Source organism: Homo sapiens, chromosome 7 (assembly GCF_000001405.40).
Source record: "Homo sapiens chromosome 7, GRCh38.p14 Primary Assembly".
In the NCBI taxonomy this organism is placed as follows: Eukaryota; Metazoa; Chordata; class Mammalia; order Primates; family Hominidae; genus Homo; species Homo sapiens.
Window position 1 is genome coordinate 91,407,934 of NC_000007.14, and position 25,365 is coordinate 91,433,298.

Genomic DNA, 25,365 nt, shown 5'->3' on the forward strand with positions numbered 1-25,365 from the left:
TGTTGGACAAATGTACACCACCCCCTCTTAATCCACAAGAGCTAGCACAGGAATTAGCATCTGAGCCACTTACAAGTGGAACTAGCCTAGTGGTGATAAAATTCCAGAGGGAGCCATTGTTCCCCACTGGTTAAGATTGATTGTGGGCCTTTCCCGTTTCTGGTGTAGTAACTAGAGCATCCTCATCTACAAGGATGCTAACACTAAGCCATGTTCCAAGAACTAATGCTTTGCTGACTTTGGCTACTACATTGCACTGGCTCTAAAATAGAACATATTTCTCAAGTGAGCTAATGCCTATTTACCACTTTGTTGTAATGTGTAATTATCATAAATGACACTTAATTGTTTAATTACTAGACCAAAGAGTAGATAAGAACTTGCTGCAAGGAAGCTATAAGACCAATCCTCTCTCTATATAAAAGGTATATATATTATATATGCATATGCACCATACATGTTCATACATATCTACAAGTATTTTTATTTGAGTGTTTATGTATAAATCCATACTTGCACATATTTTCAACATCCCAGATTGTCATGGGTTTGATTCAGTGGTCATACAAATGGACTGAAGGAGAGATGCAGCCAAAATAAAGAAATGGTTTGGTTGGCTCAAAATGTGAACTCCCTTTAAACAAGGCTGCTTTAGTAACAGTGTTACTACAGCGTGTTACTAAAGACCACTCTGTTGAGCAACATTGATCTTGTCCTCTTGTTGCTCTCCTCTTTGAGAAAGTAATTCGCAATGTGGGGAGAACCTAAAGTGATTGGATTGCATATAGTGCCAATTCCATGTGGAGAGAGGGTGGGCTAATCGGAATAAAGTTTCTTAGCTAGAGTCTAGTACTTACACAAAAGACAGGCTGATCCTTTGAGGAAACTTAAATCCCCTCTGTGACTTGTGACACATAGTTCCTGCGGGTCTTAAAGGAATGCTGACCTCCCTTTTCACATGAAGAAAAGATATATAAGACCTGAGAATTTCAAAGCAATTCCAGGAATGTGCTATTCTTATAACCAAATCACAACAAACACTGTTCCTTGTGGACCCTTTCCCAAATACAGTCACTGTAGGCTTCAAGCAGTCATTCCAGCTTACAGTGGCTAATAGTAACAGCTCCTTTTGATTAAGCACTTACTACATTCCAGGTGTTAGGCTAAGTGTTTTACCTGTATGCATTCTACTTATTTCTCGCAGTTACATGCTACTCTTATCTGCATTTTACAGGCTTGGAGAGGGTAAGTCACAAGCTCATTGTCACACAAGTAGTAAATGGCAGAAGCAGAATTTGGACCCAGGCAGTCAGACTCCTGATCCCATCACTTTAACCACCAACCTATACCAGTACACCTTGCATTGGTTTGGAACTCTTAGTAAAGGTTTCAAAAACTCAGAATAGATTAGGGAAAATACAACAGTTTCCATGAATGTTGAGTGTTCTCAGTGGCTGAAGAAAAATATCTACCAAGAAAGTGAAAACAGCAACAGAGGTTCTGGTGAAACCAGTGGCTCATTGTGACTTAATCCTTAGGAACAAGCCAAGACTCCTGTTTCCCCCTGCCTGGTGCTGACTGCTGCAGTAGAAGCAGCGGCGCAGTGCAGGTTAATTGTTGGGTAAGTGTGTTTAGCAGCTTCCACTCCTGGGGCTCATTAACCACAAAGGCGACAAACATCACAGAAATGGTATAAGTCACCTAGAGAAAAACTGGCTAGCAACACCAGGCTCATGCTCCCAAGCCCAGAGGTACATTACATGTTTCCTTCAGAGGAATCTTTTAGTGTTGTCACAAAACTATCAGAGCTGTTAGAAAAAAAAGACAGTTGAATCTTTATATTTCCTTAGCTGCCTGGTACCATCATGTGTGTACTACATATTTTGAAAAGAGGCTTGAGATGTCATGAAACCCACAAAGTATTTTATAATTATTATTTTGTATAAAGTCCTCCCTAATTGTCCTCCTAATGTCTGAGATGACTCTACTCGTTTGAAAATTGCTTAATTTGCCAAAGGACATTTTATAAGACATAGGCCTGCAAAGCTAGTCTTACCTCTGAGGAAAGAGAGAAGAATGCACTCTTACATGTTTTGAGGAAAGGGGATTTTTGTGTATTCCTTCAACAAAGTTATTTGGAGCAGCTGTTGTGTCTAAGTAACTACTGGGAGGCTAAGGAAATTAGAGGAATAGATGGTATGGTCCTTTTCTTGAAGAAGGCCAGAGTCATATCTGCAATAATCAGAACAGGACTGGCTGCCATATAGATATGTTTGATGCACGTCACCATCTTGCGTGGGCCATCCTCAATCGTTACCCCCACTGAAGTCCCTTCTGCCCTCAAAAGAAACAAGCAAACACAAACAAATAATTTGAGGAGAAAAAAAATCAAAGATAGAATACCACAGAAAACATTTAAAGTTCAACTTATTTTAGAGCCCAAGATTCCAGACTCATTTTGATGTATGGATCATCTTATGGTAGCTTGTTGATGAAAGTGAAAGTCATGAAAATCAGAATTTCTAGAAGGAGAGAAAAGATAAATTAGCTGCATGGTGCATACTTTTTGAGTAAATCTATTAGATTATATCTCCAGATCTGCTGCTTACCTGCTATAGTAACTATATTTTGCAGCCACTGTGAGTTTTCATTTTCTTCATATGGGTCTAACAGTACCTGCTCTGCCCGCCTGGGAAGGTTTATATGAAAATAAAATGAGATATAAAATATAACATACTCCATAAATGAATTATTTTTGGAGGGAATACTGGGTGAGAGGATGAGGCTTTAGCCTTCAGTTAATTTTTCTTTAGCAGTTCATTTGTTTGTTCAGGTAATATAGAAATAGAGAGTAATGCCAAGTGATTTCTTACCTCAGAAGCTGGAAAGATCTTTATCAAACCCCTGACATGCATCACTTAGGATCCTTTCTGTACTACCTGCTTCTAACTCCAGCCACTGCTGTGGTGACAGTTGTGCACAGGTTCTGATAAAATTCACCCTGACAGTGATGTACTAAATGCCCTGACTTTGCATCTTACTCCAAAAACTTCTATGGTAATACAGAAGTTTAGAGCACCACAGGACTCTGTTAGGTACCCATGCAAATACCTGAACGTGCAAGGGAGTTAGCATCCCCATGAGATGAAAATTTGACCCATGGGAGGCAGGAGCCCGTGGATTAATTTATTTTCCCTTTCTCCCGCTAGAGAGACTGCCCTGAGAAGCAGTTATAGGTCTTCTCAGAGGATGGTCTTGCAACATCAAGCAGTAAGTTGAGCTTAGCAACAACTAGCTTGATCAGCATTCTTGCATTTTCTTTCACTCTTTGCTGCTTTTGTAATCCGTATTCCTCATTCTGGGTTATATGCCCTAATAAGGTAGTACAATGTAAATCTTTGGTTCAGGCTCTGCTTTCTGGGGAGGCAAGACTAAGACAATTAATGCCGAATGACTTCAGAAAGCAGCTCCTCAGGAAGGTATTTTGTACCTGGGTTATAAAGGTCCCATTGCTGGGGAGGTGTAGTAGGGATAATACTAGCATGTAGTAGCATTATAACTAAGACTTTCACCCGTGGTTAATTGGGTTGAGGTGCAGGTGGCAAATGGAGGGGCCATCATGGTTAAAAGCATGGATAAAATGATAATTATAGAAAGGAGATGACTGCTGTTAACTACACTGGAAGTCTTGGAAAATTTTTTAAAAAAGACCCAGAGAAGTCGACAGTCAAGTCAAGCCATGCTATGAAAGTCAGAGATCCTCTATGGCAGCTGCAATGGAAACTGTCATCTCATCGGAAGCCGATCGAAATCCAGAAAGACACAATCCTAAATGCCATAATCCTGAACGTTGAAATCCTGTAAGAGCAAAATCTCAAAAACATAATTCTGGAAAAAATAATTAAAAATTCTTTAAAAGATATGTATTTGCATTGTTGAAAGGAGATTTATTTGAGAGACATATAAAAACATTACAGAACATTTCATAGATTATTTCACACAATAGAATAGAATAGAATAGGTAAAAATAACAAATATTTTTGTAAGCACAAACACTCAGCTATACTAATGTTACATAGGTGTAACAGTTATAAGCAGATGAACCATATTCATTAAGAACTAGGTCAAAAAGGGAAATGTATGAACACATATCACTATGATCAGTAAGTGCGTGCAACCAGATTTATATCTGCAGTCATCTGAAATACTGTGACAGATAATCTAAATCTTTTGATGAGATCAATCAAAAACCACAGTGGGTCACCCACTGCATATGCAGTCACCCGAAGAGCTGAGATCTTGAGAAATTTTATTTTTCACAAGCATAGATACGCTAAAAGGGTATCTCTTCATTTATTGAGGAAGTTTCGATGTTTTTATGTAGACCTACAATGCTTTCACACAAAGTCAGCATTGTGATAAGGCACTTTCATTTTTTTGTGTCAAAAACGCATAAAATGAATTAGAACTCTAAAGTCTCTACACAATTTATATCTCCAGTATTGAAAATGATGAGAAAATGAAATATGTAGCATAGAGAATGGTAAAAAAAAAATGCTGATTGTAAAAAAAATGCTGACAATTTAAACTAGTTTAAAAAAACTAAAAAGAAAAGAAAAGAAAAAAAGACTCCCCCCAAACCAGAAAATTCTGATATATAAAAAAGTGCATTACAGGGAAATCTGGCTTTCAGGACTTCAACATTCAGAATTTTAATGTTTTGGGATTGTAATTTTTAAGATTTTAGATGTTTAGATTATGGGCAATTGCACAGAGGTAGTCCATAAGAGCTGACAAACTTTTATGATCAGGAACTATATTTTGAATTCTTGCATCATGATGAATAGCTGCTTTGTTTCCCTTTTTTTTTTTTTAGGGCAGTATTCTCCTTGGAGAAATGTTCACATTCTTTTTCTACATGGACCTGCTATTTTTGAAATTCTTCTATATGATTAGCTGTACATCAACATGAACGTTCCCTGTTAAATTTTCCCATCTTCTGTGCCATTATTCTATGCTGTTTTGGGTACTCAAAATTCCATTCTGAATACACTCATATTCAGACCGCAAATTCGGTGAAAGAACTGGTGATCAAACAGCAACACTGTTGCATAAGTGTCTTCTTATCCTACCATGAACATAATTATTTTTGAACCAGTTAGTAACTTCCCTAGCTTCTTCAGGCAAATGTGACTTTTATTAAAAGCTCCTGGAAAGTCATAGATGAAAGGAATGTCAATGCAGGAAAGTGATGCACTTTGGAGCTGAAGTTTTCGTTGTTGCCATATCATGTGGCCAATCACTTGTGTGAATTTTTCCCCAAATGCAAATAAAGACACAAAAGGTAATAGTTCTGCCTAACATGATGCAACTAACATGATGTAACTATCCTGCATACAACCAAAAATGCTCTAATCCCTTCCCTAGAATCTGGCTTTCAGGACTTCAACATTCAGAATTTTAATGTTTTGGGATTGTAATTTTTAAGATTTTAGATGTTAGGGATTTTGATCTTTAGGGATTTCAAAATTTGAGATTATGACATTTATTTCAAGATTGTGTCTTTTGGGATTATGATCCCGATCCATTTCATGGAACCACAGAGAAGACCATGCTAAAAATCAAGCCCAGGATTTAACTGTAAAAGTACACAACCACAAAGGAGAGTGAATGCACAGGTTCAACAGATCTCCTATATCAAAGTCAGGACCTCAATAAGAAAAGAGTGGATGGGAAAATTTGGGTGAACCAGCTGGTAATCTTGAACTACCAGATTCCTGTAAACCCTCCTCCTAGGGCCCTTCTTGGAGGAGAGCAGTGGCTGCCTGCCTGGAGACTGTTCAAGGACTCCCCTCTAAAGCAGGTGCCTCATAAGATAATTGTCTCTTTGAGATCTGCCTCCAGTATTCCTCATTCCCTCTAGACTGTTGACCAAGGAGAAATCTCAGCCTAGCCTAAGCACCATTTCCGGAGGAAATAGCTTGCCTGCCAAAAGAACTGCAGAAACTAGTTCAAATGATCTGGTAAGAGTAGAGGGCTTTATACGTGGAACTGGAGCTGGAGGGTCTTGGACTGGGGTGAGGAAATCAGAATATGAGGCTGGACAGAGGAAAGTTTACTAACATGGAGGCACCTAGCCATGCTCAGAATTTGATGCCCTATAAAGATCCCCTGGAGCTCATCCTAATTGTCTGTTGAGATGTGTCTTAAGACTTGGTAAAGAGAATGTTTACATCAACTGCTATGGTAGAAAATCACCTTCCCATCACCCTTTTTCCAGACCTAAATCAGCTCATAGATCCAGATTTCAGTGATTGATGTGGAAGCCAGGATCCCTTGAGGAAGGACGGTTCCATGCCACCACCAGTATATATAGTACATCTTCCTTTGATTCTTTCCCCAAATGTACTTGCAGCAGGGTAACTTTGCACTGTTGGAAGGGGAAAACCCAGACTTTTCAAAGGCTGTTAGGTAAGGAGTTGGGGCTGAATGATACCAAATGAACTGAAATACTATCAAAGATCTCTGGTTAGAGTGGGAGCCCATCTGGACACAATGAGAACGGAATTTTGGGCCAAGTTTGCTTCACAGTGTGTTAGTGTTCACAGATCTGTCCTGAGGTTATTGCCCACATCCTGAGTGTGTGTAACTGAGTTAAATATATTTATCAGGTGATAGAGCCCTCACACTTGTTCCCAGATTTGTAGTATAAGGGATATTATGAGGGAAGGGCCAAGTAGAAGTCCCTGAAACTGCCTCTATCCCCATCTAAGACCATATATCAGAAGCAACACTGCATGCCAGGAGGAATTGCAGAGATTAGTGACACAATCAAACACTTGAAGAATACAAGGGTGATGGTTTCCATCATATCCCTGGTTCAATTTTTTCTGCATGCTCATTTATGGGCATACCTAGCCCTGGAAAATCCTGAGAGCTCATGGTGGATGATGGTGAATTATCATAAACATAACCAGATGTTAACGCCAATGGTATCTGCTGTGCCAGATGTGCTATCTTTACTGCAAGTGGATTAGCAGGCCTCTGGTACTAGGTATGTGATGATCTGGCAGATGTGTCTTTCTCAATGCTCATAAGGAGGAAGGATCAAAACAGCTTACATTCACGTTGTAGAAACAACAACTCATTTGCAAAATTTGTGTTTTCTGTCCCCACACTCTAAGGTCCTGGTTTCCACTGCAGGGCTGAGAAGGGGAAGAGTCTTTTCCGAAACCAGGTGCACAGAAAGGGCTCCACCAAATTCGAAGCTTCAACTACCACATTTAGGCTCCTTGCGCTAGTGGACCAGAAGGCAAAGAAATGAATTACTATATTGGCAATGGTAATCAACCCTGACTAATATGGGGAGCTAGAGCTGCTGCTATACAATGCAGACAGGCAGGAGTATGTCCCGTATCAATGAGATGCACTTAATGGCAGCTCTTTTGATTACACATACTCATATCGGCTCCTCCTCCTTCCCTGCTTCATTCTGGTTGTCCCTCCCTGCATCTCCCTGAAATTGCACCCCCTAACAAAATAGTAATACAAAATCCTTTGCCTTGGGCTCCACTTTCAGGAAAACCCAGGCTCAGGCTGCTGTAACACTCATAGGTTCAAACGTACCTGTTGCACTTAGAGAACACATATACCAGACATTTTACATATTTCATTTCACTTAACCTTCACATCAATCTTGAGAGGTAAAATAATTATTTCTGTTTTACAGATAAGGAGACAGGATCAGCTAAGTCCAAGGACTTTCCAGAGGACCACCAGTTTATGTGTAGTACAGCCAGGTTTTGAATCAGGAAATGTCCAACTCCAAAGCTCAGTCTCTGTCCTCTATATCTCATGGCTTAGGTCAGCAATAATAAAAATGAATGCTCAGAAAGAAGACAATTCCTCCTCTTATGTCACTCTGACATAATCCCCTTTGCATTATTAGTGGTTGGTGTTCACTTCAAGATTTTGTTTTTCTTTTTAATTTAGTACACACTGTATTGTTTAACAGGTAAGTACTGTAGGAAAGTTGAAGGGAACAATAGATTATTTTCCAGGAACCTACTTAGGGTTCTATCATTCTGAAATGGGTGATAGAGGAAATTGGAGTATCCTCCTTTTTAAAAATCAGGATTTAAGAAGTAAATACGAAGATAAAGTACAAAGTCAACTCATTAAAATATTTTCTGTTTCAGAAAATAATTTGTTTTAAAATAAATTCAACACAATAAGCGGCATGAAAGAAGAAAAATGCAAAACCTTGTTATATAATTTCAAGTTTGATTATGTCACCAAATAAACTAAATGGCAATAGAGTAGAAAGAAATATAATCCAGAAAGGAAGTGAGAAAGGTTAAAGAAGTCAACAGTAATTAAATGGTGACCGAAGCCAAATGGAAATAGATCTGTATTAGCTGAAGGCCATTCCTGTCTTTTAGAATGTTATGCATCAGTGAAGAGAGAAAAGAAAGGTTTCTGCTATTTTGACATAAAAATATGTCATTTCTGAGTCAAGGTTGCTAATTCAAGAAAGCAGTAAATTCTCAGTACACACATTTTAATAATCCACACCTGCTGGCAGGTATTGAAATAGATAAGATCCTGTAATAAGTCTCCGTGGGGCTATAAGTCATAAGAACTTCATTTGTTACTGGCTGTTTACCCTTGTGAAAGCTTAAGGCAGATTGACTCAATCCAATGCAAATAGAGGTGAAAGTGACAGCTCTAGCTATTAGCTGATATAGCCTCTGATGGATGGTCATCTGTCCCCAGGGATGTATCTGCTCAATAGGGACTCAGCTGACAGCAGGAGGCTGAAAAAACTTGTGCTCTACTTACAATTCTGTCATGGTGTTGCTTCTGGATATTAGGGCTTTCTGATTTAACGTATCTAATAGGAAACAAAGCTGAGTGATGTTTATAATTTGTATTATGAATGCTAACATTACAGTCAATCATTATTATAAATTATGAAGACAGTGACTACCATTAATTCAGTGCCTACTTTATTCTGGGTCTTTAAAATTGCCGTACTTACAACACTGCAAGGTAAGTGTTATTATTCTCACTTTCTACATAAGGAAAGCTCAGAAGAAATAAGCAACTTGCCTAAGACAAAGGCTGAGATAATTAAGTTAACCTACATTCCTCTCTGTTTTGTCCATTATACAACGTGGCTGCTGATTCTCTTCCAGGAGTCTAGATAAGCATGGGCAGACTTCAGTAAAAATCTTACATGTTATGGAAGACATATTACCGAGTGGAGTTAATAGGCATGCTTGGAGTGGTGAATAAACAAGATTTAGGTCATTGCCATAGAGCATGGCTGAATCAACAATAACAGCAACAAAAATAAGAGTTGATTCACTGTGATATGTGGGCCACAATCTTTATGAATTGATGGAAAAAATGCACGGTCAATCCTAGAAGGCCACTCATTCATTGAACATACATTTGTTGAGTATGTTCTAGGTCCTAGAGTTGTGCCAGGTGCTGGAGTTGAGGAAAGTAAGAAAAAGTTAATACAGTTCTCAATGACATAGCTAGAAGGAGTTCTGATAGTAGTAGTACTCATCAAATCAGAATGTCGTTGTGCTTATGGTAACTCCTCTAATTTTTAGCAGTCAGTCCAAAACAGATGGTGGGATAGGGCAAGTATTTTAACCTGAATAAAGTTTCTAGATCAACATTTTGATTCTCAAGGTAATTCTTGGCTGAAAGCACCTGGAAGTCTAGGTTCTCTTTATAGACTGTCATAGAACAAACACCGTGGCAGAAACTGCAGTTTATCACCAAGCCTATCTCCTCTTCTTTCTGGGCACATGATTAGAACACATTTCCGAACCTCCCTTACAGTTGGATGTGGACAAATGACTGAGTTTTTGCCAGTAGGAAGTCAGTGAACATAATGGGCACCATGTCTTCCCCTGGTCCATGGACATTCTCCATGGAGCTTATCTCCATGTTTCTTCCCTGGTCTCCATCTTAATGCAGATGAGCCTAGTGACCCTAAAACCACATGTTAAAGATATCAGAGCCATACATAGAAAGAACCTGTGATGCTGAGTGGCGACTTGGAAGGCCACCCTTCTTGGAATCCCACATTGAACAATTATATGAGGAAGAAATCAAGTTAAGACACTGAAATTTTGGGAGTTACTACAGCAGTTAGCATTACTTTAATACAAATACTAACATATGTATTTGACAATATTTATTTGGGCACTATTACATATTTAATTTCCTCTTACTTAATTCTAAATCAACAAGCAGATAATATGATTCTATTATTACATATAGGTCCCCTAATTTCAATAGTCAGTAATGCATGAGATATTTCACATCACATTTCTGAGATTTTCTCTCTCTCTCTTTTTTTTTTTTAGGGGATCAGTAAAGATCTTTTTTTTATATATATACTTTAAGTTCTAGGGTACATGTACACAACGTGCAGGTTTGTTACATATGTATACATGTGCCATGTTGGTGTGCTGCACCCATTAACTCGTCATTTAACATTAGGTATATCTCCTAATGCTATCCCTCCCCCCTCCCCCTGTCCCACAACAGGCTCCGGTGTGTGATGTCCCCCTTCCTGCGTCCATGTGTTCTCATTGTTCAATTCCCACCTATGAGTGAGAACATGCAGTGTTTGGTTTTTTGTCCTTGCGATAGTTTGCTGAGAATGATGGTTTCCAGCTTCATCCATGTTCCTACAAAGGACTCACTGCTGAGTTGTTGTTTCTTTGGACATTTATGTTGTTCTCCACTAGGTTTAGATGGCAAGCAAATAAGTTAATCAACATTTGGGTATTTTAAAACATGACAGAAAAATATTAGGTTGACAACTTAAAGTTGATGGCTAATGAAAGAGAAATTCTGTGGCCTGGGAAAAGGCTTTCAAGTATTTTGTTTTGACTGCCTCAAACTAATGAAAGGAAAGAACACCAGCATCCTGGAGAAACATGGTAGGGACTAGCCTGCAGGAGCAGAATGTGAGATCCCTTGACTGAATTCTGAGCATCTCAAAGGAAATGACGCTGTTTCCTCAATTCGTTTAAAGATTTGACACAAAGAAAGCTAAGCCAAGTTGCCAGGTAAGCCAAGTCACCAAGTGAAGAGCAAGACCTCCTCGCCCCTTCCAAATTGAAGGCAGCCAGGTGTGGCAAAAAGAGCATGGACTTTGGCATCAAACCCTTCTTTGAATTTTCACTCTTCCACTTGCTGCAGTTTCTTTTAACCACCTTGAATTTCAGTTTTCTCACCAGTAAACAGGGAGTGATAATATCCACCTCTCGAAAACCCTGTGAGGGTTAGAGACAAACTTTTCGAAGTGCTAATGAATAAACTATCTCTAAGTATGGTAATTAGTATGAGATTTATTATTAATTCCTTGTCCTATGTTTGTAAAAAGCACATAAAGAAAGCTTGAACCATTTGCACCAAGGTACAATATAAAACAACTAAACATATAAGCTACTGATTTTACAGTTTCCTTTTCTCATTTGTGCCATAGCAAAATGTAGTTCATTTTATTCTGTGTCATTCAATAATTATGGCAAAATCATGGCAACCATTGCTAATAATCTCTTAGAAATGCTATTCAACAAATAGTTCTCAAGTGGCTTCAAGACTCAACACTTTGTGCTGGTTTCTAAATATGATGAATCCTGCATTTTATTTGGTTCTCAAGGGTTATTTGTAACCCTCTATTGTCAGCAAGATAAGGATTACCCTCTCTCAGGAGAACAGAGACTTTTTCTTTTTAACCTTTTAAAGAACTACTTCTAGGACCATTGAGAGATAAAGACATTTGTTGCTATACCACTATAACCTTATTCAACTCTCAGTATCCCAGAGTGATGAATAGCACACAGAGTAAATGAGCATCTTGTAAAATACTTAGAAGCAATAAGTGGAAGTTAATTTGTGTAATGTGTATATTTAATTATTTGAAATTTTAGAATAACACTAAACCAATTATTGTAAGAAGTAGCAAAGAATAAAGAAGGGGCAAATTAATGAAAGAAGGGGACAAATAATTAACTTTATTTTTGCTTGTCATGAAGTGAATATATTCTAATATTCCCATGACCTGAAGCTTACCACAGACAGTATGTTTGGTTTGGGCATAGTGTAATTTTAGAATGTAAGATTTCTTGTATTGTGGTAATTTTAGAATGCAAGCTTTCTCAAGGCTGGGACTGTCCAGTCTTGCAGATGCTTTAAGCTCTCATTAATCAAGGCTTATTCTTTGATTATCCCAATACTTGTGCCATGCCAACCTTGTGGTGGACTATCACCATGATTATCATTAATCCTTATTACCAAAAGGATCAGGTTAGACATCCTTTTCATCCCCCACCTGCCCGAATTCCATCCTTGACCTGCTGAAGAAAAACAATGAAGATAGGAAGCTCTAGTAGGCAGGTTTGTAATACCCAGGCAATATATCATATTAGCAGTAATAGAAACTCCTGTCTTGCCTCTCCCACAAACTACTTGGAAAGGCATTTCTGCTGTACATCTCTTTGGAGAGCAGTGGTGATCTAAAGAAATGCTTCCTCTTGAAAGAACCCTTTTTATTCACAGTGGAATACTCTTGAATTTTGCAGATCATCAAACATACAAAAAAAGGTTTTTTTTTTTAATAGTTGAGGAAATAAGCCTAAAGAAAATGTGTACCTAATCCTATTAGCTGACTTAATATAGAATTATTAAAAGCCTTGATATACAGGATTTAACACAATCTTTCTAGCAGGGTGTGATGTAATCTGTTTTTGTTCCTCAGCTAGCAGATGGCTTACCTTTAAGTAATTTCCAATATGTTAAGAGATCAAAAGCCATCCTCTTGCCACCGAGGCAGTAATCGTTCTTCTCCGCTGGGGGTTGCTTGGTCCTGTAGTAAGGATATGCAAAGGCTCCTGGCATTTCCAAAGATAGAAGGGCGACATTTCTTCAGACTTTGAAGTTAATAATCCTTCAGAAGTTGAAAACTGAGGGATTTTTCAAAACTCTTTTAATGTTCTATATGCCATGTGTGAAAGTAAATATCTGTAAGAAATCACTGAGGGTTGGTGCGATGCTTGGAGGAGTGCTCTGCAACCTCGCGTGTCATGGACTGGCACAATCTCTTATTGCTCAAGTGTGGAGAGATTATGCTCCCATCGAGTAATGTTCTTTGGAGGACGTGATTTCCGCATTGACTGTTTGAGAAGGAGGCTGGAAATTCATCGAATTTTACATTTCAATGGGCCATTGTTGAGCTCACACTACTGCAGTACCGACAGGCCTAGCCTTGCAATCAAGACATGACTCTTCCTAAGCTTGGAAGCTTTCATCTGCATCCTCCAGCATTTGTCTAGTTGTTGGAAATGATCTATTGGTGAAGAATGTGGTAAATTTGCATTGGGGATTCTATTTGATTTTCTCCATGACAGAAAAAAAAAGTTTTTTATTTTAACAGTTTAATATGCTCCTGATAGATCCAGAGCACAAAGCATTTTGCAAAAATCAAATTCAGATTTTCATGACATGCTGAGTCATAGAACCCTGCTGAATTTTGAGTTCAGACAAGCCTAAGTGTCTCAGGGTTTGTTACCACCTTTGCTCAAGGCTCTTGCTTTTGATACAGAGAGGTTTCATTTTATTTCCCGGACCAGTTATTTTCAGACTACTTAAAATAAGAGAAAACTCTCAGTAGGAGAAGATATTCCTAGGCATACAGGAGGCCTAAGTTTGGCTCTTCCCCTTAGAGATAAAACAGACTGTTTAAACGTATGTAGTAGGCTGCTCTGCTATTACCCCCTCTTCCTTCTTACTGTTTTGGTTTACACATTTGATAGTTGGGAATTTGCCAGGCAACATCTAGTAGTAAATGAACATTTAGTAGTCATCAAAAGAGATACAAGGAGAAAATATGAAATAACTCCAGAGATGTGAAAAAGCCTGCAGGCACCAGGTTTCATTTGGAAAGGAGATATGGGTAAATGGCCTGCAGATAATCAAAAGGATGAAATGCAAACTTGAAATACCATAATATCATTTTACCCCTACACAGAAAACCATGCACGAATGGAGAGAACATATCTTCCCAAAATAGACTCGCTGACCTGTTTGGAGTTAGAAGTAATATTTGCTCTTTGTTCTAACCTGCAGCCTAAAAGGAACAGTAATATTCCTTTACAATCTCAGAAGATTCCACCTCTACTATTCTGCAATGTATTTTCCTGTTTACACTTTTCTATTACTTTTGGTCTCCTGAAATAATTGATCTAAGCAATAAAATAAAAACACTTCATATCAAAAGCAAGGGCTAGTAAGAGTTGGTTGTATGATTTATAAAGATTCTTACACAAATCCTCCAGTTGTACATTGAACTTATTCCCTTTTTTCCAGACTGGTCTCAACCCAACTCCTCCCCATTCTGTCTGGGATCTCTTTTCCTGTGCTTAAAAACCATGGTTATGTCTCTGTTTTCTTCTCTTCAGGATGAATGGATCCATAATTTCTTTAACTTATTAATTTTTGAGACAGGGGCTCACTCTGTCACCCAGCCTGGAGTGTAGGGGTGTGATCATAGCTCACTGCAGCCTCAAACTCCTGGGCTCAAGCAATCCTGCCTCAGCCTCCTGATTTTAGCTAGGACTACAGGCACGAGCCACCATGCCCAGATGATATTTTTATATTCTTAGCAGGGTCTCGCTATGTTGCCCAAGCTGGTTTCAAACTCCTAGCCTCAAATGATCCTCCATCTCAGCCTCCCAAAGTATCTTTAATTTATTGTTATTTAATGCCTCTTGTTTACTCATGGGTCATCTCTAGGTTCATTATATTCTAAGCTGTGAATGAGAATGTAGAATGTGGTAATTCAAGTAGAAGACTGAGACTATGGCAGGCCATGGGTTTGTTCTTTTTTAAGTCGTGTATATAAAAGATAGTTTGACTTTGAATGAAATGTCTAAAACCTAATTATAAATGCCCAAAGAGCCTAAGAAATTGGTAATTTTAGGAAGTCAGTGATTCAATTTGAATGTTGGCCTGTTAGCTTGGATAATAATTGCCCCATCTTCTGAGACTAAGGTAACATAGTCAATTGTCATTGGACTAGGTAAGTGAGATTAGGGGATGGGGTGGGAGGGCAGTAGTCATGGAAAATAAAAATCAAGGATACAAATGAAACTGGAGTTACTGCTCAACTGCTCAGCATTGACATAGTGTGGTTACAAAGTGTCAGGATCTGTAAAGTGCTCGCACCTGAATATGGCTGAACACTTAGAAAATAGTTGCTTAGTTCTTCTACACCCAAAAGAGAGGATTCAAGGCTTGAAGTTCCTGGGCTTCCTGTTGGGAGAACTGAGGATCAGGCTAAGTGGGAGGGTTCTGTCCCCTTTGCTTCCATGGCCTCCTTGCAACCAGAGCAGCTCTGCACACCCCCTCTCTTCATCTTCCACAGAAGTTACAATGAACAATAATTAGCCACTGCCTAATTATTCAGCTCCCCTCTTCCATGGGGGGTGTGTCTCACATCCTAGTTGCACCTGAACCACAATTAATCCATAAATCAGCTAATTTGACACTGGATAATGTCAAATTGATTGTATAAAATATTTGTTGGATAATTGGGCATCTAATTTTTAAACATGAGAGAATTTTAGATCATGCACCAATATGACACACAGCCCACAAAAAAACTGTGATGATTATTAGGGAGTTCTGGGTTCCTTGAAAGGAAAATACTGCATAAATCACAAGAACAGGTCTTTTCTCCTGGCTCCTTGGGACATAACAATATACCCTCTCAAGCAGGGTGAAAAGATATATCCTCTCTAAGTGAGATTACCCTGCAGAGTGCTGACAATCACCTGTCTCCTACCTCCACCTTCTCATATCACAGGCCAGGGAGTGGGTTAATTTTCTGCACCTTGAACTTAAGACTTTGAATTCCTATTCTCATCCCTTTGTTAACATTACAGGAAAAAATCCCTACCTGTAGTGAATGCAGAATCACAGTGCCAAGAAGGATTTTTGGAGCTCAATAAATTCATCTCTCTGCCTTTCTGCAGGACTGTGCCCCTTGCCACCAGATCTAGAGCTCCTGAGATTTTGAGGCAGTGTAGAATGAACACAGGATATCTATGCCTACAGCACACAGTCAAAAACTTAGCCCAGCAGTGAATGCACAGCACTTTCTGTATTCCTACTGTGCCCTGAGTAAAGACTTTTCACTTCATACATCATTCACAACTTGCTACAGGGATTTCACAAAGCCAGTACATACCCTTTACACAAAGAAAAGAAGAAAAAGAACAGACCTGGGAAAGAAAAGAAAAAAGGTGTGTCTGCCGAGTGTAGCATTATCAACAGGGAAATTAACAAGGCACAATGTAGTTGGGGACGTTAATCAAATAAACAAATGGAGTTTCTCATTCTGTTCACACATTTGAAGAAGAAGCCTAAAATATTTCAGAGTCAAACATGGTTAGACAGTTTCATTTCCTCCCTGGGCTCTGGTGCCATGAGGAGCAAGGCAAAAGATGAGGGAAATTGGAAGCTACTTTTCCCCTAGAGAGATCTGGTAAACAGATGCTGAGGTAGTCCCACCATCTGGCTTACAGAATCCTGGGGTCCCAGAGGAGGGTGCCACCTGGAGGTGCTGGAATACTGTTAGTGCTGGGTAGCAGCCCCTGTTGACTGAAGAGGGAGATCCTAAGCACACAGAGGAAGGAATGCCTTCAGTTGAGTCCTCGAATGTCCCAAGCCAGGATTTTTTTCCACAACAAGGTGGAGGGACAGCTTATTTCTTGCTAATCCTTGAGGGATTTACCTTTTTTCCAGAAATGATTCCTTCTGAGCCTTATCATTATTTTCTGAGTAATAAGCACTTCTACTAAACAGTAACTGTAATCTTCCTCCTCCTTCCACAATTCTGTATTATATTATATCATAGTTGGATTTCACAGTAGCTTGACGGGCAGATTTGCATAGAATAAATTAAGCCATAGAGAATTAGAAGAATTAATCAGAGATAGAGTCATTAGTTTCCAAGAAGTGAATTAATTCAGGAAAACCACTGGATATGTCACTTTCGTTGTCTTTTCCTCTTGAGAAATAAAAAATGTTTATTTTTGGAGATTGGCAGAAAAGATCTAGGATTGTAAGCCTGCTTTGATATTACTGAGTCACCTTAGACACCAATAGCTCACTCCATTCTCCTCTCCCCTCACACTCACCCCATCACATTTATGAAGAAATGAAGGGCAAGTTGTTTTCTTTGTCTTGTCTAGAAGCCCAAGAAGCCCATGTTCACTGATCCAGGATTGTCGTTCGAGTTCTAAAAACTAGGTGCTGAGTGTGCAGGGTTCTAGGACAGGTCACCTATTCTTAGCCTACCAGGCCCAGAAGCCCCTCCCATATGGCAATGCAACAGGCTTACAAAGAGCCTCGGATGACAGCTGATCTGGGTAACGTACATGGCCTGTATTTACTGGCCAAGTTCTGCCCCTTTCTTGACTATAGTTCCCCGATCCCTGTCTTTTCTGGCTCTTTTCCCTGGTCTCCCACATCTCCTGATTCCGAGCTTTGGGGCACCTAGTGAGGTCCCTCTTTCTGGATCACTAAATGTAACCCACAGCCTCCCTGATCCCAACTCTGAGCTTGACCCACTTCCCTGACTTCCCACACCCCACAGTTCTGAGCAGAATCCCTCCATTAGACCAGCCTTGGGGGATCCTGTCAGTTCTGATTCCATTTATCCAGAAAAGAAATTAGGTGTTTTTAGGTTTGCACTGAACAGCTGGGGGTTGAGTACAAACCTCTTACAGAACTCTGAGTCCAGCTTCTTTTCCCCACACAAGGGGTCAGTTTGTCCTGCAAAAGCAAACTGAGGACTAGAAGATCTTTGGGGAGAACTGAGTTCATTTATTCACTTCTTTATTTAGTCACTCATTAATTAAATAAATATTTGTTAAATTTCCACTATGTGCCAAGCATTATGTTGGACTTCAAATGCCAGTCCTCCTCATATTTGTACTTCTAGGGAGGATGTGGCTAATGCCTTGCTCATATAAATAACTTTAGAATAAAATCACCATGAAGTATTGCAGTTTTATGTGGCCAACCTGGAATCAAGATGTCTGTTGCCATGACCCAGATGCCAACAACATGTTGCTCCAAAGATCACCATGGCAGCCTGCTTATAGAAAATGTTATGTATAATCCTGGGTCAGAATGTATGGTTTCAGGATAGTATACAATTCCATTATCTCTCCCTTGTGGTTCTCCTAATGATTTTTCTGGGATCTGCCTGCTTCATGAGACCAACAGGACTGACCCATCCCTTCATCATTATTCAGCTTGTGGATTCTAATAGTCACCATGTGTTTGATTGGCTTATCTGCCTCTTGCCTAGAAATTTAGTCAAGAGGAAACCCGTGATCACAAGGTGACAGAAAAGACACTTAAATTATTTACTAAAAGTTGCTGGTTTTGGTTTTCTTCATTTTATGAAAAAAAAAATCAAGACATAGTTATGCCACTGGTAGTCTACAATAGGGCTCTATGCACATTAGGGCTCTATGCACTGTTTCCCTAAGAAGAAACAGAAGCATCACAGTAAAGAATAAAAATCTGTGAGAAGAGGAGAGTAATAGAGTGTATGCACATAAAAACGAGTTTTGAGTATCTCTGTCTGGTAGCTTGGGAAAGTAACAAACAGTGTAAGGTTTAGACATGAATAGGATTCTAATGGTTTCACCGTGGAAACTGTACAATGGACTATTTTCAATGGTACTGCAGGTAGAAACCGACTTAATGACATTTGCTCATAATGGCAATGTAGATTGCATAGTTTGAAAATTGAAGAGAGAAATACTTCAGATTAAAAAGAATTTATAGGGTTTTTATGGGTTGCTTCATTTGATCAGCCATCATTTGCTCAGAAGTCTTTAATAACTCTGTGGTATCTTCAATGAAAAGCTTTCCTCAACAAAGGTAGTGTTACTTTAAAAAGACAACTTTTTAATACTGCCCTGAATGATAAAGAGAACCTATTGAAAATAATTGAAGAACCATAGGCATGTTGCCTTCCTGTGATTGCTAGAGATTTGGAAGAATTTCTGCCCAAATTGGGCTGGATTTGTAAAGATGTCCATAATAGTGTTTGGATTCAGACCAGCTTTTGTTCAAAGCACTGAAACAGCATAAGGGGGGTGTGCAATAGAAGGGCATGATTAGGACAGTAGCTTTTTAACTTTGACAGCAAAGTGGTTCCCCAGAGTCACTGACTACATTTTCCCCACATATGTCAGTGGGGAAAATGCTGGATCATTGGAAAGTAAGCAGATGGCTGCCCAACTTTTTGTGAAATGAGAGGAGGGAAGTGCCACAAAAGCCCAGCAGTCTTCCATCAGTGCTCCTACCAGTGCTACCAATCTAGGTAGATTAACAGGCACATGTGTTTGAAATGTGGGCCATGTTTCATCATTTGTCTTAAAGAAATAGGGCTCTATTTGCCCTGTTTAGAATTGAGTTCACAGTTACAGGGAGCCCATCTGTTGCTCTGTGGGTCTTGTAAAACTTACTTTCCCAACTGAAATTGAATCACACAAATACTCATAAATTGTTAAATCTTCTTTAAGACAACACTAGAATATTCAGAGGCTGGCAAGGTGATTTTCCTCAGAGACAAATCAGAATAAGTTTAATAAAAGAATGTAGCCTCTGGAACCAGACTGCTCAAGTTCAAACCCTGGCTCCACCTCTTATTAGCTGTGGAAATTTACATATTTACTAATAATAAATTAGAATTTATTAAACCACTCTAAACCTTAGTTTCCTCATCGGTAAAAGAGGTTAATAATTGTGTTTACCTTATAGTTTTGTCGTGAGGATTAAATGGAATAATATACATTAAGTGCCTGACCTATAGTGAAAGCTTAGTAAATATTAGCTATAACTATTATTACCAATCATGTGTATCTAATAGCATTAATGCAAAAATAAACACTATCCAAACAGATCCTGTAACTGCAGAAAGAGGAGAGAAAACATAAGGTGGCTGGATACCCCCCAACTTCCCACCACCTTACACAAACAAAGGAAAGTTCTTGACTTATGAACTTAAAAAATAGGTAAATGACACTTTTAGTAACTAAAAAAAAGGCTGAAAATTTTTTCTAGTTATTAAAGAAAAGCTGAAGAATCTAACTCAAGAAGGTAGAAAATGGATCAGCAAAGGAAACTCAAAGAAATGGAAGGAAAGAAAAAAATAAAGATAAAAGCAGAAGTCAATGAAATAGAAAGCAGCATATAACAGAGAGAATAAACCAAGCCAATCATTGGTTCTTAGAAAAGACTAACCAAATTGATTAAACCTCTGGCAAGAGTAATCAAGAAAAAAAGAGAAAGAGAGAAGAAACAAATGACCAGTACAAGGAATGAAAAAAAGAATATTATATCACATCCTGAAGACACTAAATATAAAATGGGAAGATGTGATTAAAATTTTGCTTGTATTTGAAACTTTAGATGAAGTGAATAAATTTCACAAAAAGATAAAATCCAATATTCGTTATTTTAAAAACTCAGAAAACCAGAAATAGAAATAAAAACTTTGATAAAAATAGATGATATAGGTATTATAAAAACCATAGCAAATCATTATAATTACTGGTACAACACTGTAGCTTTTCCTTTGCAATCAGAAACAGATAATGGTAACTGTCCCTTTTTAACTAATTCTATTTAACATTGTGGTGAAGTCCTAGCCAGAGTAGTAAAGAATAAAAAAGTACTTTGTACTGTCTATAATAATATTATTAAGTTATTAAACACTGGAAAATTTATAAAATATAGAAGCGTCATCCAAAAATCAATCGTGTATGTGTATACACACACACATACACACACACACACACACACACACCCCAGCCACATAGTATAAACAATTTTAAAGATACTGCCTAAAATACCATCAAGCCAGGTTCAGTGGCTTATGCCTGTAATCTTAGCGACTCAAGAGGCTGAGGCGGGAGGATTGCTTAGGCCCAGGAGTTTGAGGCTTCAGTGAGCTATGATCATGCTACTGCACTCCAGCCTAGGTGACAGAGCAAGACCCCATCTCTATTTTAAAAAAAAAAAATTAAGAATATCAAGCACCTGGAATAAATCTAACAAAAGATATGCTCAATGGAAAAATTTATGAAATTTTATTAACAGGCATTAAAGAATACCTAAATAGTTATATCACATTAATGGATTCAGATCAATATTGTAAAGAGTCATCATCTCAATCAAAATTTTACTCTGGGTGTATATATGCATGTGTATGTGTGTATATGTAACTTGGCAAGTTTATTCTAAAATATGCATGGAAATGTGATGAGTCAATAGTAGCCTCCTGAAGAAGCACAACATGAATAGATATAATTAACAGCAAAGAATGCAGTAATTAATACAGAGTGATATTGACAAAAGTAGACAAATAGGCCAATGGGAAAAAAATGGAGAGCCTAGAAACAGAACCATGAATCAGCAGACACTTTATTTAAAGTGTCACAAATTCTCTTTTGTGGTAAATGCACAGAAGAGAAAGATGGCATGAAGAATAACGAGGAAGGACAGTCTATTAGTTGTGCTGGGCAGTTGGGTAACCACAGATATGAAATTGAACTCCTAACCTATGTCAAACAGAGAAATCAATTTCAGGTGGATTATAAATCCAAATGTAAAAGGCAAAACAATATAGAATTTTAAAATTACAATAAGTAAATATCTTTGTGACTTTAAGGTACGGGAGGAGTTACTAAATACTGCCAAAAATGTATAGCCATAAAGGAAAATATTGATAAATTTTACTCAAAAGATTAAAAATAAAAAAAACTTATGTCAGAAAATACTATACAGAATGAAAAGAGAAGTGATGGAGTGGGAGAAGATATTTGAAACATATTTTCTGATCAACAAAGAATACTCTTCAAGAATTTAAACACACATGAACACACATGTACAAACTCCTACAAAATAATAAGAAGACAGATACTTAGAAATATGGACAAGAGACTTGACCTGGAATTTTATAAAAGTGGAAATCCAAATGGCCAAGAAATGGATGAAAAGAGGCTCACACTTATTAGTAATCAGAGAAATTCAAATTATACTTACTATGTGATTCTACTACATACCCACCAGAACGGATAAAATACCAAGTTTTGGCAAGAATTTGGAGCAATTAAAAAAATCACATACACTGCTGGTGAGAATATAGATTGGTTCCACCACTTTAAAAATCTGGCAGTATCTACTAACACTTAACAAAAGCATACCTAATTACACAGATATTCCATCCCTGATATATGCCCAACAGAAAATGCATACATATATTCACATACAAGAAGGTTCACAGCAGCACTGTTTGATATAGCCTCACACTGGAAACTACTCAAATACCCATCAAGAGTAAAATGGACAAATTATGTAAATTCACGAAAGAGAATACTATATAGCTGTGAGCATTACGACTACTTGCAACAATATAAATAAACCTTATGAACACCATATTGAATGTAAGAATCCAGACACGACAGAGTTCTTATTGAATGAGCCAATTTATTTAAATTCAAAACAGGCAAAATTAGTCTGTGGTGTTAAAAGTCAAGCTAGCTGTTACTCTTAGGGAGCATGACAACACAAGGGAACCCTCTCTTTCTGGATCTGGGTGCTGATTAAAGGGATAAGTTGAGCTTATGAAAATTTACTGAACTATACATGTATATTTTATGTAATTTTCTATACATATATTTTTCTTCAACTAACTTCCTCCTATAAGATTCATGTAATAAAGATCAATAACTTTCCAATACAGCAGAAATAATGATTTGAATGTGTAATAGAAGAGAGGATCTTGTTTACAATATCAGAAAAAGTACAAAACACCTAGGAACATACCTATAAAATTTTTAAAAATATCTCTAGAAGCAAAATGTTTTCCGAATTTTTTTCTTTGAGATTAATATTTTTTCTTTTTAGTTGACACATAATACTTGTACATATTTCTGGGGTACAGAGTGTTAATTCAATACACATATACAATGTGTAATAATCAAATCAGGTATTAATTAGTGTATCCTCACCTTGAACATAAATAATTTCTCTGTGTTGGGAACATTCAAAATGCTCTCTTCTAGCTTTTTTAACATGTACAATAAATTATTGTTAACTATCTACCCTACAGTGCTATAGAGCAATAGAACTTATTCCTCCTCTCTAGCTGTAATTTTGCATTTGTGAACCAACCTATCCCTTTCTTCCATTCCCCTGACCTTCCCACACTCTAATAACTATAATTCTACTCTCTACTTCTAAGAGCTCTTTTTTTTAGTTCCCATATATGAGAATGTGCAGTATTTATCTTTCCATGCCTGATTTATTTCACTTAACATAATGTCCCCCAGGGTCATGCATGTTGCTGTGAATGACAGGATTTCATTCTTTTTTATGGGTGAATAGTATTCCACTGTGTATAATATACCAAATATTAATGAACATTTAGATTTATTCCATATCTTGGCTATTGTGAATAGTGCTGCAAAAAACATGGAAGTACTAATATATCTTTGATATACTGATTTCCTTACCTTTGGACCAATATCCAGTTAATAGGATTGTTATATCATATGGTAGTCCTAGTTTTAGATTTTTTTGAGAGAGCTTCATACTGTTTTCCATAATAGCTGTACTGATTTGCATTCCCATCAAAAGAGTGTAAGAGTTCCCATTTCTTCTTCCTGGTATTTATTTTTTAAATCCTTTTAATAATAGCCATTCTATTGGGGTGAACAGCCAACAGTGGTGCAATAATATCTTATTGTGGTTTTGACTTGCATTTTCATGATGATTAGTAATGCTGAGCATTTTTTCATATACTTGTTGGCTATTTGTATGTCTTTTTTTGAGAAATATCTATTCAGAGCCTTTGCCCATTTTCAAATCGTATAATTTGTGTGTGGTATTTTTTTGCTGTTGAGTTATTTGAGTTCCTTGTATATTTTTGATACTAGTCTTTTGTCAAATTAATAGTTTGCAAATATTTTCTCCCATTCAGCAGGTTGTCTCTTCACTTTGTGGATTGTTTTCTTTGCTGTGCAGAAGCTTTTTAGTTGGATAGAGTCCCATTTGTCTATTTTTTTTGTTGTTGCCTGTGCTTTTGTAGTCTTACCATAAAATCTTTGCCTTGATCAATGTCCTGAAGCATTTCTCCTATGCTTTCTTCTAGCAGTTTTTGAGTTTTAGGTCTTACATTTAAGTATTTAATCCCTTTTGAGTTAACTTTTGCATATCATGAAAGATAGGGTTCTAGCTTTATTCTTCTGCATATGGACATCTAGTTTTCCCAGCACCAATTATTGAACAGTCCTTGGGTTCCCAGGCAGTGTGGGTGGAGGGGTCGAGGTCACTGTTGGTGGTAGTGGTGGCTGGGGCATGGAGCTCTTAGGATATGGGGGGATGTCAGCAGGACCCCAGGAATGTGGAGATGCAGAGACTATTGAGTCCCAAGGTAGGATGTAGTCTGGCGGTAACTGTTCTCAAAATGGCCCCATGCTATAGCACCCTGGGTACTGGGGCAGAGGAACACAACGTGGATTTTCTTTCTCTCTCTCTCTCTTTCTTTTTTTTTAGACAGAGTCTCGCTCTGTCGCCCAGGCTGGAGTGCAGTGGCGTGATCTCAGCTCACTGCAAGCTCCGCCTCCCACGTTGACGCCATTCTCCTGCTTCAACTTCCCCAGTAGCTGGGACTACAGGCGCCTGCCACCACGCCCGGCTAATTTTTTGTATTTTTAGTAGAAACGGGGTTTCACCATGTTAGCCAGGTTGGTCTCGATCTCCTGACCTCGTGATCCACCCACCTCGGCCTCCCAAAGTGCTGGGATTACAGGCGTGAGCCACCACGCTCAGCCACAAGGTGGATTTCCTATCTAGAAAAACACAGCCACGTGGGCTCCAGGTAACTCCCCGGAGCTCAGGGAGTGTGAAGGCCGAAGGGCTCTCCTCTAGCTAAGATTGCAGGCATCTGTGGTGGGAATGTGGACTGCTGGGGATTTCTCACTCCCTTTTCCCCTACAATGAAGAGTCCCTCTTGGCTCTTAATTCATTCTGGCTGGCTGTTTCACTTTTCACTCTATGCTGCCATCTTGAGTTTCCATGTCTCAGAGGGTCTTTATCACTTCCTTGCTGAATTTCAGTGTTCTCCCTTAGATGATCTATTAAAGGTGTGATTATCTACTCACTGTTTTGGTCCTTCCTCGTGGGGGAAGTGAGTGCTGGGCACCTCTAGCCAGTCATCTTGACGACGTCTCTCCAAAAATT

At 38.3% G+C, this 25,365-nt stretch overlaps 1 long non-coding RNA gene across 2 annotated transcripts in view, besides 1 other annotated feature; it reads left to right on the top strand.

Annotated features, from left to right (window-relative positions):
• LINC02932 (long intergenic non-protein coding RNA 2932) overlaps nucleotides 1-25,365 on the top strand; it is a 204,101-nt gene that overhangs the window by 96,609 nt on the left and 82,127 nt on the right. The window lies entirely within an intron of this gene.
• Nucleotides 12,989-13,534: an enhancer, noted in NCBI's record as "OCT4-NANOG-H3K4me1 hESC enhancer chr7:91050237-91050782 (GRCh37/hg19 assembly coordinates)". NCBI's record gives its function as "activates a minimal SCP1, AML or CMV promoter by ChIP-STARR-seq in primed H9 embryonic stem cells {active_cell/tissue: H9 hESC(primed)}" and the evidence as "EXISTENCE:reporter gene assay evidence [ECO:0000049][PMID:30033119]".